Source organism: Homo sapiens, chromosome 2 (genome assembly GCF_000001405.40).
Source record: "Homo sapiens chromosome 2, GRCh38.p14 Primary Assembly".
NCBI classification, from domain to species: Eukaryota; Metazoa; Chordata; class Mammalia; order Primates; family Hominidae; genus Homo; species Homo sapiens.
The window spans coordinates 38,276,700-38,299,753 of NC_000002.12; the positions used below are offsets into that span (position 1 = coordinate 38,276,700).

The 23,054-nt window shown below is 40.5% G+C and overlaps 1 protein-coding gene and 1 pseudogene across 10 annotated transcripts in view, besides 2 other annotated features; one reads left to right on the top strand and one right to left on the bottom strand.

Moving 5' to 3' along the window:
* Positions 352–1,335: an enhancer, noted in NCBI's record as "OCT4-NANOG-H3K27ac hESC enhancer chr2:38504193-38505176 (GRCh37/hg19 assembly coordinates)". NCBI's record gives its function as "activates a minimal SCP1, AML or CMV promoter by ChIP-STARR-seq in naive and primed H9 embryonic stem cells {active_cell/tissue: H9 hESC(naive and primed)}" and the evidence as "EXISTENCE:reporter gene assay evidence [ECO:0000049][PMID:30033119]".
* Positions 1,336–2,319: an enhancer, noted in NCBI's record as "OCT4-NANOG-H3K27ac-H3K4me1 hESC enhancer chr2:38505177-38506160 (GRCh37/hg19 assembly coordinates)". NCBI's record gives its function as "activates a minimal SCP1, AML or CMV promoter by ChIP-STARR-seq in naive and primed H9 embryonic stem cells {active_cell/tissue: H9 hESC(naive and primed)}" and the evidence as "EXISTENCE:reporter gene assay evidence [ECO:0000049][PMID:30033119]".
* Positions 8,641–9,896, top strand: GAPDHP25 (glyceraldehyde 3 phosphate dehydrogenase pseudogene 25; annotated as a pseudogene).
* Positions 17,255–23,054, bottom strand: part of ATL2 (atlastin GTPase 2) — an 84,631-nt gene continuing 78,831 nt past the window's right edge. For 3 of the 10 annotated variants that reach the window (NM_001330462.1, NM_001330460.1, NM_001330459.1), the window contains 4 exons: positions 22,557–22,628; positions 21,445–21,876; positions 19,987–20,001; positions 17,258–19,891 (listed from right to left, as the gene is read on the bottom strand). In NM_001330462.1, the coding sequence (NP_001317391.1) occupies positions 19,784–19,891; positions 19,987–20,001; positions 21,445–21,876; positions 22,557–22,628 (627 nt within the window). In that variant the 3' untranslated portion in view covers positions 17,258–19,783. Of the gene's footprint in view, positions 19,892–19,986; positions 20,002–21,444; positions 21,877–22,556; positions 22,629–23,054 lie in introns of all 10 variants that reach the window. The other 7 variants (NM_001330458.2, NM_001135673.4, NM_001330464.2 and 4 more) reach the window with 4 other exon arrangements.

Sequence of the window (23,054 nt, forward strand, 5' to 3'; positions counted from 1 at the left end):
CTGTCATCCAGGCTTTGTTGTTCCACTTACAGAAAACAGGCAGAATAGATTTAGCATAATTCTTAGGGGCCTTAGGATTTTTTTTTTTTTTTTAAGACAGAGTCTCACTCTGTCACACTGGAGTGCAATGGCACCATCTCGGCTCACTGCAACCTCCACCTCCCTGGTTCAAGCATTCTCCTGCCTCTGCCTGTAATCCCAAGTAGCTGGGATTACAGGCACCCACCACCACACGTGGCTAATTTTGTATTTTTAATAGAGACAGGGTTTCCCCACATTGGTCAGGCTGGTCTCGACCTCCTGACCTCAAGTGATCCACCCACCTCGGCCTCCCAAAGTGCTGGGATTACAGGCATGAGCCACTGCACCCGGCCAGGATTTTCATAATGGTAAATGAGCATTGGCTTCAACTTCAAGTTGCTGGCTGCATTAGACCCCAACGAGAAAGTCAGCCTGTCCTTTAAAGCTTTGAAACCAGGGATTCATTTCTCTCTAGCTATGAAAGTCCTAGATGGCATCTTCTTCCAATATAAGACTATCTCATCTACACTGAAAATCTGTCATTTAGTGTAGCCACCTTCATCAGTGATCTTTCCTAGATCTCTTGGATAACCTGTTGCCACTTCTACTTTAGCACTTACTGCATCACCTTGATTTTACGTTATGTAATAGAGATGGCTTCTTTCCTTAAATATCATCAACCAACTTCTGCTAGCTTCAAACTTTTCTTCTACAGCTTCTTCACCTCTTAGCTTTCACAGAATTGAAGAGAGTTGGGGCCTTGCTCTGGATTAGGCTTTGGCTTAAGAAAATGTTGTGACTGGTTTAATCTTCTATCGAGACTACTCAAACTTTCTTCGAATCAGCAGTAAGGCTGTTTTGCTTTCTTATCATTTGTATCTTCACTAGAGTAGCACTTTTTCTTTCCTTCAACAACTTTTTCCTTTGCATTCACAACTTGGCTAACTGGTGCAAGAGACCTACTTTTTGACATATCTTAGCTTTCAACATGCCTTCCTCACTAGGCTTAATCATGTGTAGCTTGTGATTTAAAGTGAGAGACATGTGACACTTCCTCTCACTTTGTGGGGAAAAGAAAGAGAGATCAGACTGTTACTGTGTCTATGTAGAAAGAAGTCGACCTAAGAGACTCCATTTTGTTCAGTACTAAGAAAAATTCTTCTGCCTTGAGATGCTGTTAATCTGTAACCCTACTCCCAACCCTGTGCTCACAGAAATATGTGCTGTGTCAACTCAAGGTTTAATGGATTAAGGGCTCTGCGGGATGTGCTTTGTTAAACAAATGCTTGAAGGCAGCATGCTTGTTAAAAGTCATCACCACTCCCTATTCTCAAGTACCCAGGGACACAATACACTGCAGAAGGCCGCAGGGACCTCTGCCTAGGAAAACCAGGTATTGTCCAAGGTTTCTCCCCGTGCGATAGTCTGAAATATGGCCTCATGAGAAGGGAAAGACCTGACCGTCCCCCAGCCCGACACCCGACACCCATAAAGGGTCTGTGCTGAGGAGGATTAGTAAAAGAGGAAGGCCTCTTTGCAGTTGAGATAAGGGGAAGGCATCTGTCTCCTGCTCATCCCTGGGCAATGGAATGTCTTGGTGTAAAACCCGATTGTATATTCCATCTACTGAGATACGAGAAAACCGCCTTAAGGCTGGAGGTGGGACATGCTGGCAGCAAAACTGCTCTTTAAGGCATTGAGATGTTTATGTATACGCACATCAAAAGCACAGCACTTTTTTCTTTACCTTGTTTATGATGCAGAGATATGTGTTCACATGTTTTCCTGCTGACCCTCTCTCCACTATTACCCTATTGTCCTGCGACATCCCCTTCTCCGAGAAACGCCCGATAATGATCAATAAATACTAAGGGAACTCACAGACTGGTGCTGGTGTGGGTCCTCCGTATGCTGAGCGCCGGTCCCCTCGACCCACTTTTCTTTCTCTATACTTTGTCTCTGTGTCTCTTTCTTTTCTCAAGTCTCTCGTCCACCTGACAAGAAGCACCCACAGGTGTGGAGGGGCAGGCCACCCCTTCATCACTTGAACACTTAGAGGTCATCGTAGAGTTATTAATTGGCCTAATTTCAATGTTGTTGTGTCTCAGGGAAAAGGGAAGCCTGAGGAGAGGGAGAGTGATGGGGGAAGGCCAGTGGTTGGAACATTCGGAACACACACAACATGTATCAATTAAGTTTGTCATCTTCTTTGGGCACAGTTTGTAGTGCCCCAATTACAATAGTAACATCAAATATCACTGACCAGAGATGATCATAACTGATATAATAATAAAGAAGATGTTTGAAATACTGCAAGAATTACCAAAATGAAACAGAGGCACAGACTGAGCACATGTTGTTGGAAGCATGATACCAATAGACTTGCTTGAGGCGGGGTTGCCACAAATTTTCCATTTTAAAAAAAAGCGTGATATATGCAAAGAACAATAAAGCAAGGCACAATGAGATGAGGGTTGCCTGGCCCTATCTATGCACCTTCGTTGGAGCAGCCTAGGCTTACCTGAGGAGTCAACACAATTTGCATGTGTGGGGCAATACTAAAGGGAATATAGGTAAGTAGCAACGGATGTGACATAGACAATGGCTAGAGGACTCCACACAAGGGAAATATCAAATGGGCCTGACCTCTCAGGCATGAAGAAGCTGAGCCTTGGGAGACATAGATATGAATCACCTACACAGAACGTGAGCATTTCACACTGGGGGAAGTGAATGAGTAGAGACAGATGGAGCACTGAGCATGCCCTGAGATGCTCTGGAGAGAGAAGCAGCTTTTCTTCTGTTTGATAAAGTTGATCCCACCTTGCTTTTTTTTTTCTTTTTTTTTTGAGACAGGGCCTCTCTCTGTCGCCCAGGCTGGGGTGCAGTGGCCAGGTTGGTTTCAAACTCTTGGCCTCAAGTGATCCGCCCACCTCGGCCTCCCAAAGTGCTGGGAATCCAGGCAGGAGGCACCGCACCCAGCCCCACCTTGCTTAAAGACTCTGTAATAGCTACCTTAATGATATGCTAATTTTCCTCATGTCATTTCTACTGGACCTAAACCTATAATTATATCCATTTATCCCATGAGGCCAATTACAAAGTCGAACCCTAGAGAAAACACATACCAAAACCAAAAAAAAAAAAAAGCTTTTCAAATTTTGCTTATTTACTCAGAAAACCTGAGTAATACTATTCGTGAGAATGGATTCTGTGGATGATAGATCATGCTAGATTGGGCTACATTGTAACAAGAATTCACTTTAGAGATTCCAAAGTTAAATGATTAGGCAAACTAGGAGAGGTTCTAATGGTTTGCCCTAGGACATAATTCTAATTATGTCCTAAAATCTGGACTCAATAGTGACCTACACTAAATAAAGTTGAGATGTCAGGAATTCCTGAGTACAATGTAAAAGACTGTCTCCCCAGCCACTCCAGTGCCTGCTTGATAGCTTCAGGAACCCCGTCATCATGGAAGGAGGAATGAAGGGGACACTTGGGCTCAGCAAACAGACTTCACACCGAAGCTAATCTGCCTACGACCATGGCTGAGAGCCCAATCTGTCAACTCTGAGCTTCCAGTACGGTACAGGAACCCAAGGAGATTAGTTTGGCATCTGGTTAGAAGGTTACAAAGAGCCGGGCGCGGTGGCTCACACCTGTAATCCCAGCACTTTGGGAGGCCAAGGCAAGCGGATCACCTGAGGTCAGGAGATCGAGACCATCCTGGCCTATGAACATAGTGAAACCCCATCTCTACTAAAAATACAAAAATTAGCTGGCTGTGGTGGTGTGCGCCTGTAATCCCAGCTACTCAGGAGGCTGAGGCAGGAGAATTGCTTGAAACTGGGAGGCGGAGATTGCAGTGAGCTGAGATCACACCACTGCACTCCAGCCTTGCAAGAGATCAAGACTCTGTCTAAAAGAAAAAAAAAAAAAGGTTACAAAGAACCACTTTCATCACAGAAATGCTGCAATTTCTCTCCACTGAGACACTCATTCTGGCTATGGATTAGATTCCCCTGCATGGTATCCTTTGCAGACATACTAAATACCTTAATCATGACCATAATATTCCACCCAAAGGTGCTTTTATTTATTTATTTTTGAGACAGAGTCTGGCTCTTGTCGCACAGGCTGAAGTGCAATGGCACGATCTCAGCTCACTGCAACCACTGCCTCCTGGGTTCAAGCAGTTCTCCTGTCTTAGTCTCCCGAGTAGCTGGGATTACAGGCTCCTGCCACCACGCCCGGCTAATTTTTTTGTATTTTTAGTAGAGACGGGCTTTCACCATGCTGGGCAGGCTGGTCTCGAACTCCTGACCTCAGGTGATCCGCCTGCCTTGGCCTCCCAAAGTGCTGGGATTACAGGCGTGAGCCACTGCGCCAAGCCCCAAAGGTGCTTTTTATGAAGAAATTTATTTTACAACGAAAGTAATAATGCAATAAGCCAGTGCTCACAGGATATATGGCAAGACCAGTGAATGCTTTTGCTGTGAAGCAGGTAACTTTATAGAATGGCAGAATGGCCTTCTGAACTCTCCAGTACCAGCCAAGAGACAGCACTTTGTAAAACTGGGTGTTGTCCTACCATGTGCAGGACACATGCTGTTAACAGGAATCGAATGGTATTTCGCCAACAACCAGAATTTATGTCTGGGTATCAATAAATAAAAGTGAGTGTGACAACTTCCACTTTAGATTTTTCGATCCAATTGCAAAATGTTTGTTTGCCATCCCTGTGATTTTAGATTCTGCTAGTTTAGAAACATGAATGTCCAAGAGAGAAATGTTTCATCAGAGCAATGCTTCTACCAGTTGAGGCTGGCACTCACCATTTCAGGCTCCTTACACAAAATCACTAAACAAGCAAATAATGGGTAGGGGCAGGGGGGAGGGGCAGTGTTACCATTTTATCTGAGGTCATTGATCCTGAGCATCAAGGGAAAATAGGATTTGTACTACATGAAACAGGCAGGTAGGAATGTTTGGAAATTAGGGGATCCTCTGAGGGCTCTTCTCATACTGCCTTGTTTAATGGTGAAAGTTACCAAAGGACTAGAGCAACCCTAGAGAAGTAGAGGACCATCAAGGGCTCCAATCCCTCAAGAATAAAGGTTTGGGTCACTCCACCAGGTAAAGCCAAAGGTGTGGCTAAGGGCAATGGGAACAGGAGATAAGTAAAGGTCAACTATGGCCTTATTTTTCTCCTTCCTTGGTGGGTTTTAAATATATAAGTATGTATACTAATTCTTTTTATGCCCCTTCATCCTTCTCCAATTATTCTATATAATTGGTCAGTTACTTTTACAATTTATATATAATTTTCGGGATATAAAGATGGAATGGTAAACATCAAACAAAAATCTTGAATTTAGAGCTAACTGCAATAAATTGGGATCTGGGGCTTCCTCTTTTGAGGAGGGAGTAGCATGTTTTGTATAAGGGATAGTGGCATGGCTGTTCAGGTTGGAGATGTGAAGATAGAGTAAGGGTCTATGTTGACCTTGCACAGCCAGAAAGTGAACTGCAGGGAACTCCGTCATTTGAGCCTACTTTGAGTCTTTCAAACACACTCTCCCCACTTTAATCACTCCCCAAGTGTTAATCCTTCATCCCTCATATAGAATAATTTTTATATAGTGCATTGAAATTAGGCTATCAACAGGTGTATTAGCTTCTACCAATCAGAGATACATACACAAGACTTTATTTTGAAAATGAGTTTTCTATGGCTAGGCGCAGTGGATCATGCCTGTAATCCCAGCACTTTGGGAGGCCAAGGCAGGCCGATCACCTGAGGTCAGAAGTTCGAGACCAGCCTGGCCAACATGGTGAAACCCTGTCTCTACTAAAAATACAAAAATTAGCCAGGCATGGTGGCAGGCACCTGTAGTCCCAGCTACTCGGGAGTCTGAGGCAGGAGAATCACTTGAACCCGGGAGGCAGAAGTTACAGTGAGCTGAGATTGTGCCACTCACTGCACTCCAGCCTCGGCGGCAGAGTGAGACTCTGTCTCAAAAAAAAAATGAAAATCAGTTTTCTGAGAAAGACCAAGACAGGTATTTCACTGGCTCAAGGGCAGCAAAGGCAGCCTGGTGATGAAGTCAGTGGTGATGGCAGCTGTTTCCACCACCCACGGCAGAGGCTATGTTATGGCTCCAGTTCTTTTACATGCTCAATTTTGAGGTATGGTTCTGGGAGCTTTCCAAAAAGGTAAGCCTAGCTTCTCTAAAACTTCTGTGGGTTTCAAATAGCCTTTGTGCTTCCCTTCCTACTTAAATTATCTAGCATGCATTCCACTGTTAGAACAAGGAAGGCTGATGCATATAGGAAAGTTTCATAGCTGTGCGCCTGTGGACAATTGGCCCTGCCACTCTCAGCCTCAGTTTCCTCATCTTTGAAAACTTTCAAGCACTGTTGTAAAAATTAGAAACGTTACAGGCAAAGTAACTTATATCTAGGAAATACTTACATCATGACTTCTCAATTCATCAAAATATATTCAAAGTCTACTTCTTTTCATGTGACCCAGGGTCATTATTATCGTGCACCTGGACTATTTCAGTCACTTCTTAATTAATCTTTTTCTACTCTATCCCCTCCTTACCCTCAAGTCTATTCTCATCACAATAGCCAAGATGACCCAATCAAAATTTAAGTCCACTTCAGTCACTCTTTTGCTCAACATGACCTAATGGTTCCCAGTTTCCGTCCTACTAACAATTCCTTTCAACAGCCTACAGGACCTCCAAGGCCATGCCCCCTAATACTTCCCCGATCTCATCACTTTCTGCCCGTTGTTCATTCCCTCCTAGTCAGACTCACCTCCTTCCTATCCTTTTAACATGATACCCACACTCATTCTGCAGGCCTTAGCATGCCTGTTCCTTTTCTCTGGAATACTCTTCCCCAAAATATTTGCATGGCTCATTGCTTCATCTCCTCCAAGTCTTTGCTCAAATGTTGCCTCTCAAGAATGCTTACCCTCACCATCCTATTTCAAATAGTAAACCCTCGCACCCCCAGCACTCCTCATCCTATTCTATTTTTTTCTATAGCACTTACCACATTCTAACAAACCACTGAATTTACTTTATTACATTTTTGCCTGACTTTCTACAAAGACTGACATTTTTGTCTCTTTTATTCTTTGACATTTCCCTAATGCCTGTAACTAGTACCTGATAAATATCTGTGAAATGAATAAATTGATCAAATGAATAATTACTGCTCCTACAACTGCTATCCTCCTGCATACAACATATGGTACCATATAAATATTTGGTATTTATACATGACATATGGTACCTAATAAATACTTGTGGAATGAATAAACTGAATGATCAAATGAATGAATGAATGAATGACTGTTTCTATAATTGCTGTATTACTACTACTGCTACTACCACTACTGCAGCCCTCTTCCTTGGCCCTTCCAACTTCATTTTCTACATTCACCTTGAAAAATTCTGCCTGAGCAAGAAGTCAGATTCAGAGCAGGAAGTTACTGAGTCAACAGCATAATCTTTCCTCAGGTTCCTACAACTGTAATGATAACTATCTCAAGAACACAAAGCTTTTAATTCTGAAATGCAATTTTGTTTGGGGGATAGGAGAAAGAGAAGGTAGAAGGAAGGTACTGGGTGTTTTCATTTGTTTGTACTAAAACATGCCCTGGTCAATGAAACCTAAAATGATTCATGCTAGATGTGCAACTTGTAAAGAATTAAGAGGTAAGGTAGATGGATCCCCCTTAAATTTTGAGAAAATCAGTGATGCATAGAGCTCATGCCACCCAACGTGGCAACGCACATGAATACTAAGTTCAACCTCTTGTAGTGGATGGTCAGGGACATTGGTGATAACAAAGATATTCATGAGACAACTGGGGAAATTTGAATGCTGACTGGATATTTGATATTAAGTAATGATCTATTATTTTAGGATAAAGGTATTGTGGTTACTGATATATGCTGAAGTATTTATGAGAGAAATGATATAATACCTGGGATTTCCCTCAAAATAGTCAAGCTTCAGATGGGGGGAATGGAAGTGTGTAGATAAAACCAGACTGCGTATGTGCTGATAACCATTTAAACTGGGTGATGGGTACATGAAACTTCATTACACTATTCTCTCTACTTTCATGTTTGAAAATCTTCATAGTAATGTCTTTAAACATCCTTTTAAATCTGCCAGGCTATAGGTAGATTTAAAAATTTTCTGACTGACAATTGGTTGAGTTTATCTGAAGACCTGGGATAAATAGAAAGGAAATGTCTGGGTTAAGATAAAAGATTGTGGAGACCAAAGTTCTTATTTGCAGAGGAAGTCTTCAGGTAGCAGGCTTCAGAGAGAATAGGCTGTAAAACGTTTCTTATCAGACTTAAAGTCTGTGTTGATGTGAATGCCTGAGAGGTTTAATGAGGCATGTCCGACCCCCACTTCCTATCATGGCCTGAACTGGTCTTTCAGGTTTAATTTTAAGAGTGCACTGGCCAAGGACAAAGTCCATTCAGATAGTTGGGGGACATCTTAGAATTTTATTTTGGGTTGACAGCTGAGTACCTATTTCAGAATTGTGATAATGCAGTTGAAGATACTCTAGTCAGGGCTCTCCGCTCCTCCCATTTGACAGACAGCCATATCTTCTCGTGTAGCACCAGCCACATCCTGAGATACCATGGTTAAGGTGAAGGCCAGAGTCAACAGATTTGGCCACATTGGGCACCAGATCACCAGGGCTGCTTTTAACTCTGGTAAAGTGGATATTGTTGCCATCAGTGACCCCTTCACTGGCCTCAACTACATGGTCTACGTGTTCCAGTGTGGTTCTACCCATGGCAAATTCCATGGCACTGTCAAGGCTGAGAATGGGAAGCTTGTCATTAACGGAAATCTCATCACCATCTTTCAGGAGCGAGATCCCACCAAAATCAAATGGGACAATGTTGACGCTGAGTACATTTGGGTGTCCACCGGTGTCTTCACCACCACAGAGAAGGCTGGGGCTCACTTGCAGCAGGGAGCCAAAAGGGTCATAATCTCTACTCCCTCTGCTGACGCCCCCATGTTCATGATGGGCGTGAACCATAAGAAATATGAAAACAGCCTCAAGATCATCAGCAATTGCCTCCTGTACCACCAACTTCTTAGCCTCCCTGGCCAAGCTCATCCATGACAACTTTGGTATTGTGGAAGGACTCATGACCACGACCCACACCATCACTGCCACCCAGAAGACTGTAGATGGACCCTCCAGGAAACTGTGGTGTGATGGCCACGGGGCTCTCCAGATCATCATCCCTGCATCTACTGGTGCTGCCAAAGCTGTAGGCAAGGTCATCCCCGAGATGAATGGGAAGATTACTAGCATGGCCTTCCGTGTCCCCACCACCAATGTGTCGGTCATGCATCTGACCTGCCATCTGGAAAATCCTGCCAAATATGATGACATCAAGAAGGTGGTGAAACAGGCATCAGAGGCCCCTCAAGGGCATCCTGGACTACACTGAGCACCACGTTGTCTCCTCCAGCTTTAACAGTGACACCCACTCTTCCACCTTCAATGATGGGGCTGGTATTGCCCTCAATGACCATTTTGTCAAGCTCATTTCCTGTTATGACAATGCATTTGGCTACAACAACAGGGCAGTGGACCTCATGGCCCACATGGCCTCCAAGAAGTAAGACCCCCAGACCACCAGCCTCAGGCCCTCAGCTGCTAGGAATCCCCTATTGCACTAGGTCTCCTACCACACTGAGAATCTCCCCTCCTCACAGTTTCCATCCAGACCCCCTGAAGAGGGAGGGGTCTAGGGAGCCCCACCTTGTCATGTACCACCAATAAAGTCCTCTGTGCTCAGCCAAAAAAAAAAAAAAAAAGATACTCTAGTCAGCAGGATTCCATGATTTTCACCAACAATATTCAGCTGCTAGGTATAGGTACAGGTAGAGACTTGGGTTTAAAAACAGAGCTGAAGTTTCATCAAGTGGGTACACAGGGTAGCTAAGGATATTTATAAAGGAATGGTTGTAGTGCTGGACCACTGCATCTTAGCTGAGTAAGAAGGCAAGGAGATGAGGGCAATATGTATGAACAAGCAGTAGGGTGAAAGGATAAGGCTTCCATGAGATTAGAGGATTGTTTGAAAGGAAACACTGCAGTCAATGAACTGAAAGGAAGCCATAAAATCTAGATTTGGGAGGTAGTAATGACATAGTAGAAGGGTATGACTTATGAATGAGTAGACATGGAGGACAGGAGGTCTTTTGGGGGCTGAAGAAATCAAGGGATGGGATGGGTCATTCATGTGGCATTAAGGATCCAAGAATGACCACAGAAGGAACAAGAGAAAAAGGCTGGAAGCCAGGTGCCAGAGTTATCAACGAAGGAGGAGGGGTGGTAGGGAGGTCAGTAAGATTGCCCACAGTAAGTTGGGGTGACAAGTGGAAAAGTCTGATAACTTTAAAGAAGCTGTTTTATTTGTTGTTTAATAGAAAAAAGACTTGAAAGGGTGCAATGGAGCACAGGAACATCACCTCTGTTAGGACCGGCAGTAGCTAGGGAGGGAGCAAGTCAGCCTTGAGAGGGCTGCAGGGGAGACATTCTACTAGGGGAATAGAAGACACCAGGGTTTCAGTTAAAGTGAAAAATGAAGAGAAAGCACACACAGAGAAAAAGTGTTTTGGCAAATTGCTAATAACAGACCGTGGATTATAGAGAACACAAAAGACAGGTGTGGGAGGCCATGGAAGAGTTGAAGGTGGGGTTAGATTAGGTAGTGGTTCTCAGTCCTAGCCGCACAACAGAATCATCTGGGGAACTTTTGAAAGTACTGATGCCTGCACACAGATCAACTGAATTAGAATCTCTAGGGGGTAAGGCCAGGGTATGTACAGCCCAGTAACCAAACTTTCAAATACAGTCATCCCCCAGTATCCATGGGCGATCAGTTCCAGGATCCCTGTGGATACCAAAATCCACAATGCTCAAGTCCCTTACAGAAAATGGCCTGGTATTGGCATAGAAGCTACACATATCCTCCCATATGATTCAAATCATCTCTAGATTACTTATAACTAATACAACGTCAGCGCTATAAAACTAGTTGTTTAGGGAATAATGACAAGGAAAACAAGTCTGTATTGTACATGCTCAGTACAGATGCAACCATCCACTCTTTTCAATTTTCCACCCCAGGCTGGCCGAATCCATGGATGCAGAACCCACAAATACAGAGGACTACTTCCTTGTACACACTAACACAAGTAACAGATGAGAAGGGGGAAAATGGCATCAGTGTTTATCTCTGATGAGTACATCAAAATCTTAAGGGTGAATGTCTTTATACTTTCAGATTTTCTTGTGCATTTTTCAGATTGAATTAAAAAAGGGGGCTTTTGTTTGTTTGAGGGGGATTGCTTAAAGAAAGGGGTTTATAGTACAGTCTCAATTTCTACTGTTTACACATGGAATTTATTTGGTCTGTCTGACCCAATCTGTTTCTGGTAAAGGTGCATGAAATGAGCTTTGAAAAAATATCTAAAACTTAAAAATAAAGGAAAAGGCAGTAGATCATGTCCTTTCAAAGTCATACAGGGACATTGCTTAACATGCCTATCAAGAAGGCTTCTAGGCAAATTGCTGAAGAAATGTATATATTTCTTTATGCATTGAATCCTAGCAGATTGTGTGTGTATATATAGTGTGTGTGTATATATATATATACAAACACACAATGAACTATTATTCAGCCTTAAAAAAGGAGATCCTGCCGTTTGTGACAAGGAACCTAGAGGACGTTATGGTAAGTGAAATGAGTCAAACACAGAAAAATACTGCATGATCTCACTTATGTGTGGAATCTAAAAGTAACAGAAAGAAAGAGGAAAAAAAATCAAATACACAGTAACAGAGAGTAGAATGGTGGTTACCAGGAGCAGGGGAAATGGGAAGATGTAGGTCAAAGGGTAAGTCTAGAGATCTAACGCACAGCATGAGGACTACAGTTAATAATATTGTATTGTGTATTGGAAATCTGCTAAGACAGCTTTTAGATGCACTTAGTACAAAAAAAAAAAGGAGGGGGTAACCATGTGAGATGATGAATATGTTAATTTGCTTGACTATAGTATCATTTCACTATATAAAATGGCATATTACATACTTTTAATATATGTAATTTTTAAAAGTTAACATATAATGAGCTTATTTTTTAATGTTTTAACATTTTTGTTTTAATTTCTAATAAGATAAATATTGGCAGATCATTTGGAGGCCTCAATTTTTAAGAGCCAAAGGGGATCCTGAGACTCAAGTCTGAGACTCACTGATCTATATTTGTTTGGCGTTGCCATTTACTACTAAGGGCGCACATTACTCAGCATACTCATTTCAAAATGCCCTTCCTGGTGGACTACATAACTCCTATTTCTCCAATTCTGCTTTGAAACAGCCTTTTGCCATCTCCGGTTTCCTCATTAAGAAGTTGAATAAATTTTATTATGTATTCATTGTGTATTTGGACAACAGTCATGTATAATTTTAAGGATTATATTTTGATAGAAGGTACGATCTGCTGATTTATACAATTTAGTCCTGAGTTTCTTTTCTCTGTATTCAAAAGCTGATGAAAGAACAGGGAACATTATGAAGTCTCATAATCATTCTTAAACATTTCCCTAATGAAATGAAAGAAGACTGCAATCATCAGCTATGTCTAAAACTATTGTGTTCCTTCACAAAAGTATTTAAAAGGAAAGAACAAGTACAAAGTTTGTGAAGCAAAATGACATAGTTTTGAAAGAAGATCCAAGCTTGAGAATGGGTCTCTAATTTGAGAGATAACATTTACTTTAATATGGAAGAAGAGCACACTTTCAATCTATTGCCAAGATCTTTCCTTCCCAATACAAGCTCCACCTTCCTCCCAGGGAAACAACACAGTACAACAACATAATTTCAGCTCTGTCTGTGCAGAAAGCTTTCTTAGTCAGGAAGGTATAAAAACAGCAGGAGAAATCCATAATTCTGCTACTCATTAGGAAACACTTAACACTGATCTCAGGCTTCAGTATGCATTAGAATTATCTGAGAGACCTGGTAGAAATACAGATTTAAATTCACTATGCAGGGTGGGAGGGATAGCATTAGGAGATATACCTAACATAAAAGATGAGTTAATGGGTGCAGCACACCAGCATGGCACATGTATACATATGTAATGAACCTGCACGTTGTGCCCACGTACCCTAGAACTTAAAGTATAATAAAAAATAAATAAATTCACTATGCAATGTGGGGGCGGGTGGGGGGCGGCCACACAGCACTCCAGGTGACTCTAATCGAAAATAAAAAGCGAGCCAGGTGGAGTGGTGCATGTCCATAGCCCTAGCAACTTGGGAGGCTGAGGTGGGAGGACTGCTTGAGCCCAGGAGTTTGAGACCCCACCCCCATCCCTTAAAAAATAAAAAATAAAAATAAAAATTCATACTTTGGGAAACTATACTAAAGTATTAGAATTGGCCGCATAGCTGTTGTGTTTTTCTAAGAATCGTCCGTGTAACCTTAATATCTAAATGTCAAGCCCCTCTACCTGATCTGAAAGGCCCTTCACAATCTTGCCCAGGTCTTTAAACTTCAACTCCACTCCTACATCCGTCTCTGCCCTTCAGTAACTCCCTAGTACAGCCACGCTGAACCATTTCTGTATTCCTTCCTGATATCCACCCTTCTCTCTCTTTCCTCTTCTCTGGGTGGGACTATTTATTCTTCACAGCGGTGTGATAGGGTGGGTAAGTACATAGCTCTCTGGACTCTAAAGCCAGTAGACCTGGTTTCCAATCCCGGAGCACCCTCACTTTGGTAAATGTGGTTGACCTCTCTGAACCTGAGATGCCTCCTCTATAAAATCAGAGATAAGAATACCCACCCCAAGGCTATTGCATGAGCACTGGCAGCATTCAGTATAGATGCTAAACATGTTTATACCCCCCAACACACAGAAAACCTTCAGTCTTCCCAGGAAAAACTGCCCTGTCCTCTCTAAATAATATAAACATCCCTCTTGGAGATAAACACACATTATACAGGCCTGTAAACCCAATTCTGGTAGGACTTATAAGCAGATACTTAGGAAAATGCATTAGATCAAATCAGTATACTGAAGTTTTAAAAATAACACAGGCCAGGTGCAGTGGCTCACACCTGTAATCCCAGCACTTTGGGAGGCTGAGGTGGGTGGATTGCCTGAGGTCAGGAGTTTGAGATCAGCCTGACTAACAAGGTGAAATCCCATCTCTACTAAAAATACAATAACTAGCCAGGTGTGGTGGCAGGTGCCTATAATCCCAGCTACTCGTAAGGCTGAGGCAGGAGAATCGCTTGAACCTGGGAGGCAGAGGTTGTAGTGAGCCGAGATTGTGCCACTGCACTCTAGCCTAGGTGACAGAGCAAGACTCCATCTCAAAAAAAAAAAAAAAAAAGGAGAACCCAAATCCATAAGGTAGCCTACCCTCACCATCCCCCAAAGTTATTTTACCAGAGGGTTTTTAATGATCATATTCCTTCATAGTTTGATTATTTTGATGCCAAGGGCAGAAAAAGCAACCACTGATATTTAGGATCCCACAGTTGCCAAATAACCACTAAGCTTACCTACAGCAGGTGGCATATGCCTAAGTATGGAAGGCAGATTGAGGTGAAGTTGACTAATCCAGTCCATGTTAAAACATTCTGAGCATTTAGTATGCACAAAAATGTTTGATAATGTAAAAAAAAAGTGCACAAAGTATGGTTTCTTCTTTCCGAGGAGCTCAACCCATTTAGGGGAAAGTACTGACAAATGCTTTCTTCCATAGACAAAAATAACAATGACCACCATCCTCCAAAATTCACCTTGTTTATCCTCTTCAGGAAACAGAGGAAGTTAAAAATAAGTACGATTTAGAAGACAGGTGTTTGTTTACAAATATCAACGCCATAAAAAAGATTTAAAAGTCTGCCAGGATGTGGAAATTCTCATCACATCCTCCTAACATCTGTGAGGGGTAATATTATTCCTATTTTATAGATGAAGAAGCTGAGGCTCAACTGCTATATAAGCGTTAGCACAAATTCATGAAGCTTGCGTGGTGGAGCTAGAAACAAAGCTCAGTTTTAACCATAAGGTCATCTCCTTTGCTTAGAATTGAAATTTAAGCATTCTTCCAGATCTAGGTTGAGTTTTTAGGTAGTCTTCATGTTTTGTAACGGGCAAGTCTAAACCATGCCATTTTAGATGACCTCTCTTGTCAGGGGCTGCAGACCCATTTGGCCAGAATGAGTATGTTGTTTACTAATTACCATAAAAATTTGTCAGAAAGTTAGAGAACTCTTAAATAACAGCCCAAATGCCGGGGATGGGGTGGGGGTGGTCGGGGAGTAAGTTATGGACAAGCTTCAAGTACAGGTGGCCAAACAGTCAGAAGATGCAGCCTTAAAACAAGCAAAATTGAGGGCACGATTTTCTGTTCTTGTACCTGCTTCCCAAGCACCCTTTCTTCACATTTTATTTGATTCTCTCAACAATCCTATTATAGGAGGAAAACTGTCATAAAAAGAAAACTCTTAGCAGTTGTTTTAGTCCATTTTCACACTGCTGTAAAGACATACCCAAGACTGCGTAATTTATAAAAGGAGGTTTGACTCACAGTTCCACGACTGGGGAGGCCTCAGGAAACTTACAATCAAGGCTGAAGGCAAAGAGGCACGTCTTACGTGGCAGCAGGTGAGACAGATTGAATGAGTGAAGAGGGAAGAGCCCCTTATAAAACCACCAAATAGATCTCGTGAGAACTCACTATCACGAGAACAGCATGGGGGAAACTGCCCCCAACAATCCAATCATCTCCCACCAAGTTCCACCTGGTGATTATGGGGGTTATGGGGATTACAATTCAAGATGAGCTTTGAGTGGGGACACAGAGCCCAGCCATCTCAGCAATGATCCCAGGTCTATTGTTCTCTCCTTAAAACTCCACCTACCCTAAGAATCAAAGTAACCATTAAATAATTACATAATGACCTAGGAAAATATCCCATTACATGAAAAAAAAAAAAAAAACATCATGTACAGGATAATTCTATTTTTATGTAAAACAAAAAACAAGTATGTTTTATGCATATACAGACTTGTCAATAAGCAGAGGGAAGGTTTCAATAGCACACACCAAAGTAATGGTTCTCTCTCAGGTGTACAATCAAATGGACAGGAACATTTTCACTTTTTGCATCGATTCATTTTTTAGAGTGGTAATGTTATGGGTAATTTTCAGCTTGTTTCGGTATTAGCAAGATGTTACTTTCTCCACTTAGTGCCTCTAGGAATGCAGCCAAGACAGTCCTTGCATCTTGAGTTGGGAACATTACTTATCATTGTCTGAAGCTTCAAACAGATTCAAACTTCTGGAGGTGTGTAGTAGAGTCCTAAGTTGCAAGCCTGAGATGCCCAAGGTTCTTTTTGATGGTTTCCTATCTATCACACAGGACTGCCATGAGTATGGAGAGTACTAACATACGTATGGAGGTGCCTTATTGAGCTATGCAAAGGCTGTGACTTCCCTCCCCTAAGCCCTTTCATGTGTATCTCTAGGCAGTTTGGACCTATTCAGCTGATACATTTGGCTGCAGATTTCACGATCCTAAAAGGATATAAAAGTTGTATTTCACTGAGTACATTAAGGGCAGCTCAATTCCTCGGTCTAACTTCCAGCAAAATGTAAATCTGAAAGACAGGAGTTCCTAGGATCTAAGACTTCAGTAGAGAAGGTAAGGGAGCAATTCTCTGTGCTGCCTGGGAAACCCCCAATCTAGCTTTGACAGGAACCAATAACTGGAAGACTCCCCAAAGTCGCATTCTCTTTATGGCAGAGGCTCCCAACAGAATCCAAGTACAATAGTCATTTGATGAGTAATCTCTGGCCAAGTGAGAAGATGGCTACCAGATGCACAGCAACTCAAGCTAATTTTCATCCTCACTCCACGACTATCACACGAATGGAAAAAACCTGAGATGCGCAGATCCATTCTGGTCAAGTTAGAGGAAAGGAGGGAATCCAGGACATGAATGTTTAGGCTAAAGCTTAAAAGTGTGAAATGGACTTAAATCCTGTAGAGAATTGTCTTCTTTGAGTAAAGCACTCTTTTCTGACAAGAAATGTAAGAAAGCCAATGGTCTAGATTTTATAACTTTTTAAAAGTAAGCTGTCTTTAATTTCAGAAAATCTGCTATTATACAACAAATTATTTTTTCATTCATAAAAAACAGTCCACAGCATTCATAAAACAGGGTGGCAGAAGAAATAAAAAGACACTTTTCAGGTGGATTCTTTAAGAACAGATAAGTTAGCAATTTAATACAGATGAAAACAAATACAATCCATATAAAAACAGAATCTGAATGGGAGTGGGAGCGAAGATGTATCAACCAAAGTAAATTCAGAGTTTTCACACATGCAACTCAACACCTGCATTCTCTTCGCTTAAAAAGCAAACTAAGGGCCGGGCGCGGTGGCTCACGCCTGTAATCCCAACACTTTGGGAGGCCAAGGCAGGCGGATCACAAGGTCAGGCGATTGAGACCATCCTGGCTAAAACGGTGAAACCCCATCTCTACTTAAAATAGAAAACATTAGCCGGGAATGGTGGCACGCACCTGTAGTCCCAGCTACTCAGGAGGCTGAGGCGGGAGAATCACTTGAACCCAGGAGGTGGAGGTTGCAGTGAGCCAAGATCGCACCACTGCACTCCAGCCTGGGTGACAGAGAGAGACTCCGTCTCAAAAAAGAAACAAACAAAACTAGGTACTTTAATCGGTGTTCACAAAGAAGACCACAAAAGTACTGAAAAAATGCTAGCCTTACATATACCACCAAAAAAAAAAAAAGAGAGAGAAAGAAATTAACAATCCCCATCTACAACTAGGCTAATCATAGGTTTTCCCTTATAGAGACAGACACAGAAAAGTAACTTTTTACAAGCTTAGTTTTGAGGTACAATGCCTTAGAGCTCTCAACTGGGGTGTTTCCTGCTCATGCTCTTTTCACTATAAACAAATGTGGTTTATGAAGTGGAATACATACTTGAAAAATTCCTTAAAAAAGAATCACAAGTTTCATTTTATATATACAACAAATTTTTAATTATGTACTGAAAATAAATTACAGGAAATAACTTTAAAATGCAACAGAGGACAAAGTCACAATAAACATTCCCATTGAATTCCCTTGGTGGGCGGGGGGGGGGTGAGATTGCAGTGCTCAAGATAAATATCACAAATATATCAAAAACTTCAAATTGTCTATGCATTCACACACTGACATGAGCCACAAACATTCCTTTCACAGGGACAGTACTTATTTAGCCTACCACAGGACCAGATTTTGCCATAAACTACAAAACTTTTAATACAAAATCGTATTTATATATTTATAAGTCATATACATGCCCTATCTGTGATTTTAGAAAATAAAAGCTACACACTGTACAGACACTCTTAACTCATAGCTGTAGGCAACATTTTTGGATGGAATTTCTTCCCCAATAAAATTAATGGCATATTTTATATACATGAAGGCTAAACTGCAAAAAGACAGTTCAGTTTCCCAGATATGCATCTCCTTTTAGGGCAAGTTTATAAATTTAAAAAGGCAAGACAAATGTACACCTCAGAATTACTTTCTTAGCTACAAGAGTTGCCATGTAATTTCTGTGAAGTTTCTGATACATGCATTGATGTAATACTGGTATTGAAGGCAGTAAAGCAATATATACTTTTAATGTAGTGGCTCAATAAAGGCTTCATTGTCTTTCCAATCTGGTTCTTGAAACAGTGATTCATAAATTCTCTAAAAATTAAAATTTCAATGGGACACTGTGTTAAAGAGACTCTAAATAGATTTCTGAAAATATTTCCCTGAAATATCCTTTTACATAAGACAAATTCACTAACATTAGATTAAGTAAAAAGAAATAAAAGAGTTAAACATGGCACAAAGGTGCATGATTAACCAATGCTCCTCAGTCCATCTGCATGTCTTAGGAGCCATTAAAAGAATGCTTAAAACTAACAAACAATCTTCACACTCTGTGGCAGCCATCTGTGAAGCCAGTTACACTAAACTACTTCTACAGTTGATTGTAAACTTTGGTTTATTTTTATTTGAGTTCTCATTGTACAGCAAGCATGAAAAAAAAAGAGAGTGGAGTCCGTGAGGAGATGAACTGTCAGTCTGTCTTTAATCTGGCATGATGAGACACCTGGTCAGTCAGGCCTGCTTTGATAGAGTTTGTTACAGACTGCCTTATGTTTTCCTCCATCAAATTATCACCCAGGGGCTTCAATACCTGTGGTATGAGAAATGTGCAAAACAAACAAAAACATGAGGTAAAAAAAGAGTTACATATAAAAATAGATATAAAAATTCAATTCAAAGCAATGATGAAAATAACCAGGAATATGGGAAATAAAAAGATGCTTCTCTCAAAAAAACTTATGATGCTACTAGACATTTTATAATGCAACAAAAATTACTTTCCTCTTATTCAAACCATTTACAATTCCTATGAGATGGATGTGCAATTCCATACCCTATATGCAGCATCAAATCTGGTATGTATACAGCATTTATGCAGACCGGCCCAGACGGTCCTGCTTATTGTCCTACATGTGTAAGTGTGAACACTTCAGATAGAGAAAAAGGTTAAAAATACTGTCTAATTTTTCTTCTTGTTATTGTTGGATGACAGTCTCTGTCGCTGTGCTGATGAAAGAGCACGGTGAACCATTCGACGTCTAGTAACTTCAAACAGTTTGGAAAACACCTAAAACATGAAGTGATTTGTTAGGAGAATGAATCAGAGTGCCTCGAAGCTAAAGAGTTTAAGACTACAAGAATTTGAGACTGTAGGTTTCTCACCTTCCTGGGACTCCTCTGAAGCAAAAGAAAAGAGAAATGCAAAGAAATTTAGACAAGGTTTGTTGACACAGCACAGATCTCTGACTAGCTGATTACCTTACCTAAACTATACTGAAAATGATTTTATACACTTTAGATTCTTCCATTTAATTGTTTTGTAATAATGGTACCTCCAAAATCCTAGAATCAATGCTGTTTAAGAGATGAATATTTCTCAAAAGAAGATATTGTACAATTATTGAAAATTATATTGCAGAAAATGATCCAAAATTTTAAAATAGCTAATTTTTTCTTAAAAGTGAAGTTGCGATAGCTTTGCATCCATCTTCTATTAGAAGATATCAAAGAAACATCAAGTAGTGAGATTGAGATAAAAATTTAAATAGAATAAATATCCAAACATAAACTTCCCAATCGGATCTGAATAGAGCATTTCTCTAAAGAGTAAACACAAAATCCAAATTAATATAGTGGGTCACTTTATAAAATAACATCATTACAAGAAAAGTCAATATCCAATCAACTTTCTTCAAAAAAAATGGTCTGCTTCTTCGGTCTTCAAGTTTATAGCCAAAACAAACATGGACCTGCATATCCTAGATCTTCAAAATAAGCTCAATATTTCATGAGCCCAAAAATGGCATCTCAAATGCCTATTATAGCGTTCGTCATTAATAACCGTAGCTTTCATTCTGGTCCTTGACATGATGTTCAAGTATTTCACGAAGATCATCTTAATGACATCCATAAGCGGTCCACAGGTAATTCCAGCACACCGGAGGCAGATACACAAAATGGCTTTCCTTAGCAGATACTTGCAGGCAAGAGTTCACAGCCTGGGGCTTTGAATTCTGGTTCGAGGTAAAAGATTACGACGGAGCATGGTTCTCTGTTCATGGCGCTTTGCTTTACTAATTAATATTTCCAAAACACAAAGGTCAAAGTTTCCTTGGTAAGAAATCCCTACGGGATTGTTCCTCATAGTACATCAGGAAATCACTACCATCTTCATGGAAGGCAATGAAGACCTGTCTACCATCCAGCATTTCTCCTGCATTGCTGCTTGCCAATATTAGGAAGAAACTTCTTTTGCTTTCCGAAAGCACCACTTCCAAACTTCTTTTCCTTACCTTGAAAATCATTCATTGTTTATATTTTCTTTCCTCAAAGAAAAAAATCATTACAGACTCTGACCCTGCCCACCGTCTGATACAATCAGGCCTACAACTAAGAATCTATCCAGAGGATAGTACAGATTTAGGCTAACCAAAGTACATTAAAATTATAACTTTAAAGAAAAAATCTTCAATTCATAAAGATTCTACATCTGAACAAAACAGAAGACATCCTTTTGACATTCCTCACATGAAGGCAAAGTCGGAGTACAAATACTGCAAAGGATGGAAAGTCACAGGAAAATAAGATTAGTCACTAAAAAACCAAAAGATAGATACCAACCTGTTCCCATAGTGTTTCAGCAATCTGATCAATCACTGTTCCAATTTCTCTGAACTCCCCAGAGTATTTAACATATGCCCAAGTACAAAGAAATATCAGTGCTAACCCCATGACAAGGTTACACAAGACAGCTATAGAGTTTAGGCCAATGAAGCCAGTCAGTCCTGAGATTATATACATAGCAAACATGACCGCAAACAGTGTGGCTGGGGTACGAGCAGCATAGAAGATATTTTTGCCATCATTGTGCTTTATAAAATTTGCATAGGTTTCTTCAATTTCAGCTTCAAGCTGGTCCTGATAACGACGGCAGAACTCATCTCCACCCATCTTTTTTACTGAACGAAATTGTTTTATCGCCACTTCCTTGAGATCCAAGTGTTTTCGCTCCAGATCTGAAGGTGCAATGTAAGGCTTGTCCCCTCCACATACCTGGACAGACAGAATTACAGTATTACATGCTAGAAATAATTAACACTTGAAAGAAGTTCCTGTTCATAGTTTTTAGTCTCAGAAAGTCAAACCACTTACATGATTGAGTCAGTTTTAAACTCACTTACAATACCTCACAGGTTATCATAATCTAGTTATTGTTTATATGTTGAACCTACTCAAGCAAAATCATTTTCCAAATATGACTAACGGAAACTGAAGACAAAAAAATTTTACACTGTGCTCTGTATCTGCCTTCACTTGACCATCATATACCATAATAGCACACAAAATTGCTGGCAAGAGAACGGGTAAAAGATGATAATGCCCCAAAAAGATATTTTAATGTTTGAGCAAGCAAGTACAGAAACTGCTACTGGCCTTAAACTAATGCTACCAACATCAGAAGTCACCAATAACAGCACTCTGAATCACACATTTGTCAGAAGATATTTCAGTAGAGTTTATATAATAATTTACTAACTCAAATTCTGCTCTCAAATAATGTGAATTATTTTCTTATAGTTTATTTCCAGCAAAGACCATAAAGGGGAATTAGGGAATAATGTACCATAAGCTGCACAAATTCGCTCAATTATTTAAAAAATTTTTTTAATTTTTTTTTTTTTAATTTAAAAATCTTCTCACTCCAGCATCAAATTTAAATTTTAGGTACAAACCTGTTCCATACTTTTACAATAGGTATCTCTTGCTCCTGCTACTGCAGCAAGATTATTAGCTTCAGCTGTTGCCTAAAAAATAAAATATGCCATTATTATGCAAAAAATACTCTATGACTCTAAAAATTCTGATTAACACAATAAGTTATGTACAATAAACAAGTCTGAAAATGAACCAGAGAAAGTAACTTCCAGTTTTTCTTTCCTATGCAAGGGAACGTTGGTATAAAGGATATAATGGTAAGTGGTTCTAATAGGACTGCCTGCCTGATTTTGTTTTGCTTAGGTTGATGTTAAAGTGTGTCTGCAGAAAACACCACATATGCTCAGGAAATGGATAAAGATAAATAGATATAACCCTAAAATATGTGGATCTCCAGGTGTTAGGAATCGAGAATTACCCATATGGTTCTCTCTCTCATAATCAGTATTATACAAGACATTTTCAAACCCACAAACCTTACTGCACGAAGTTTTATCGGCAAATACTGTTTAATC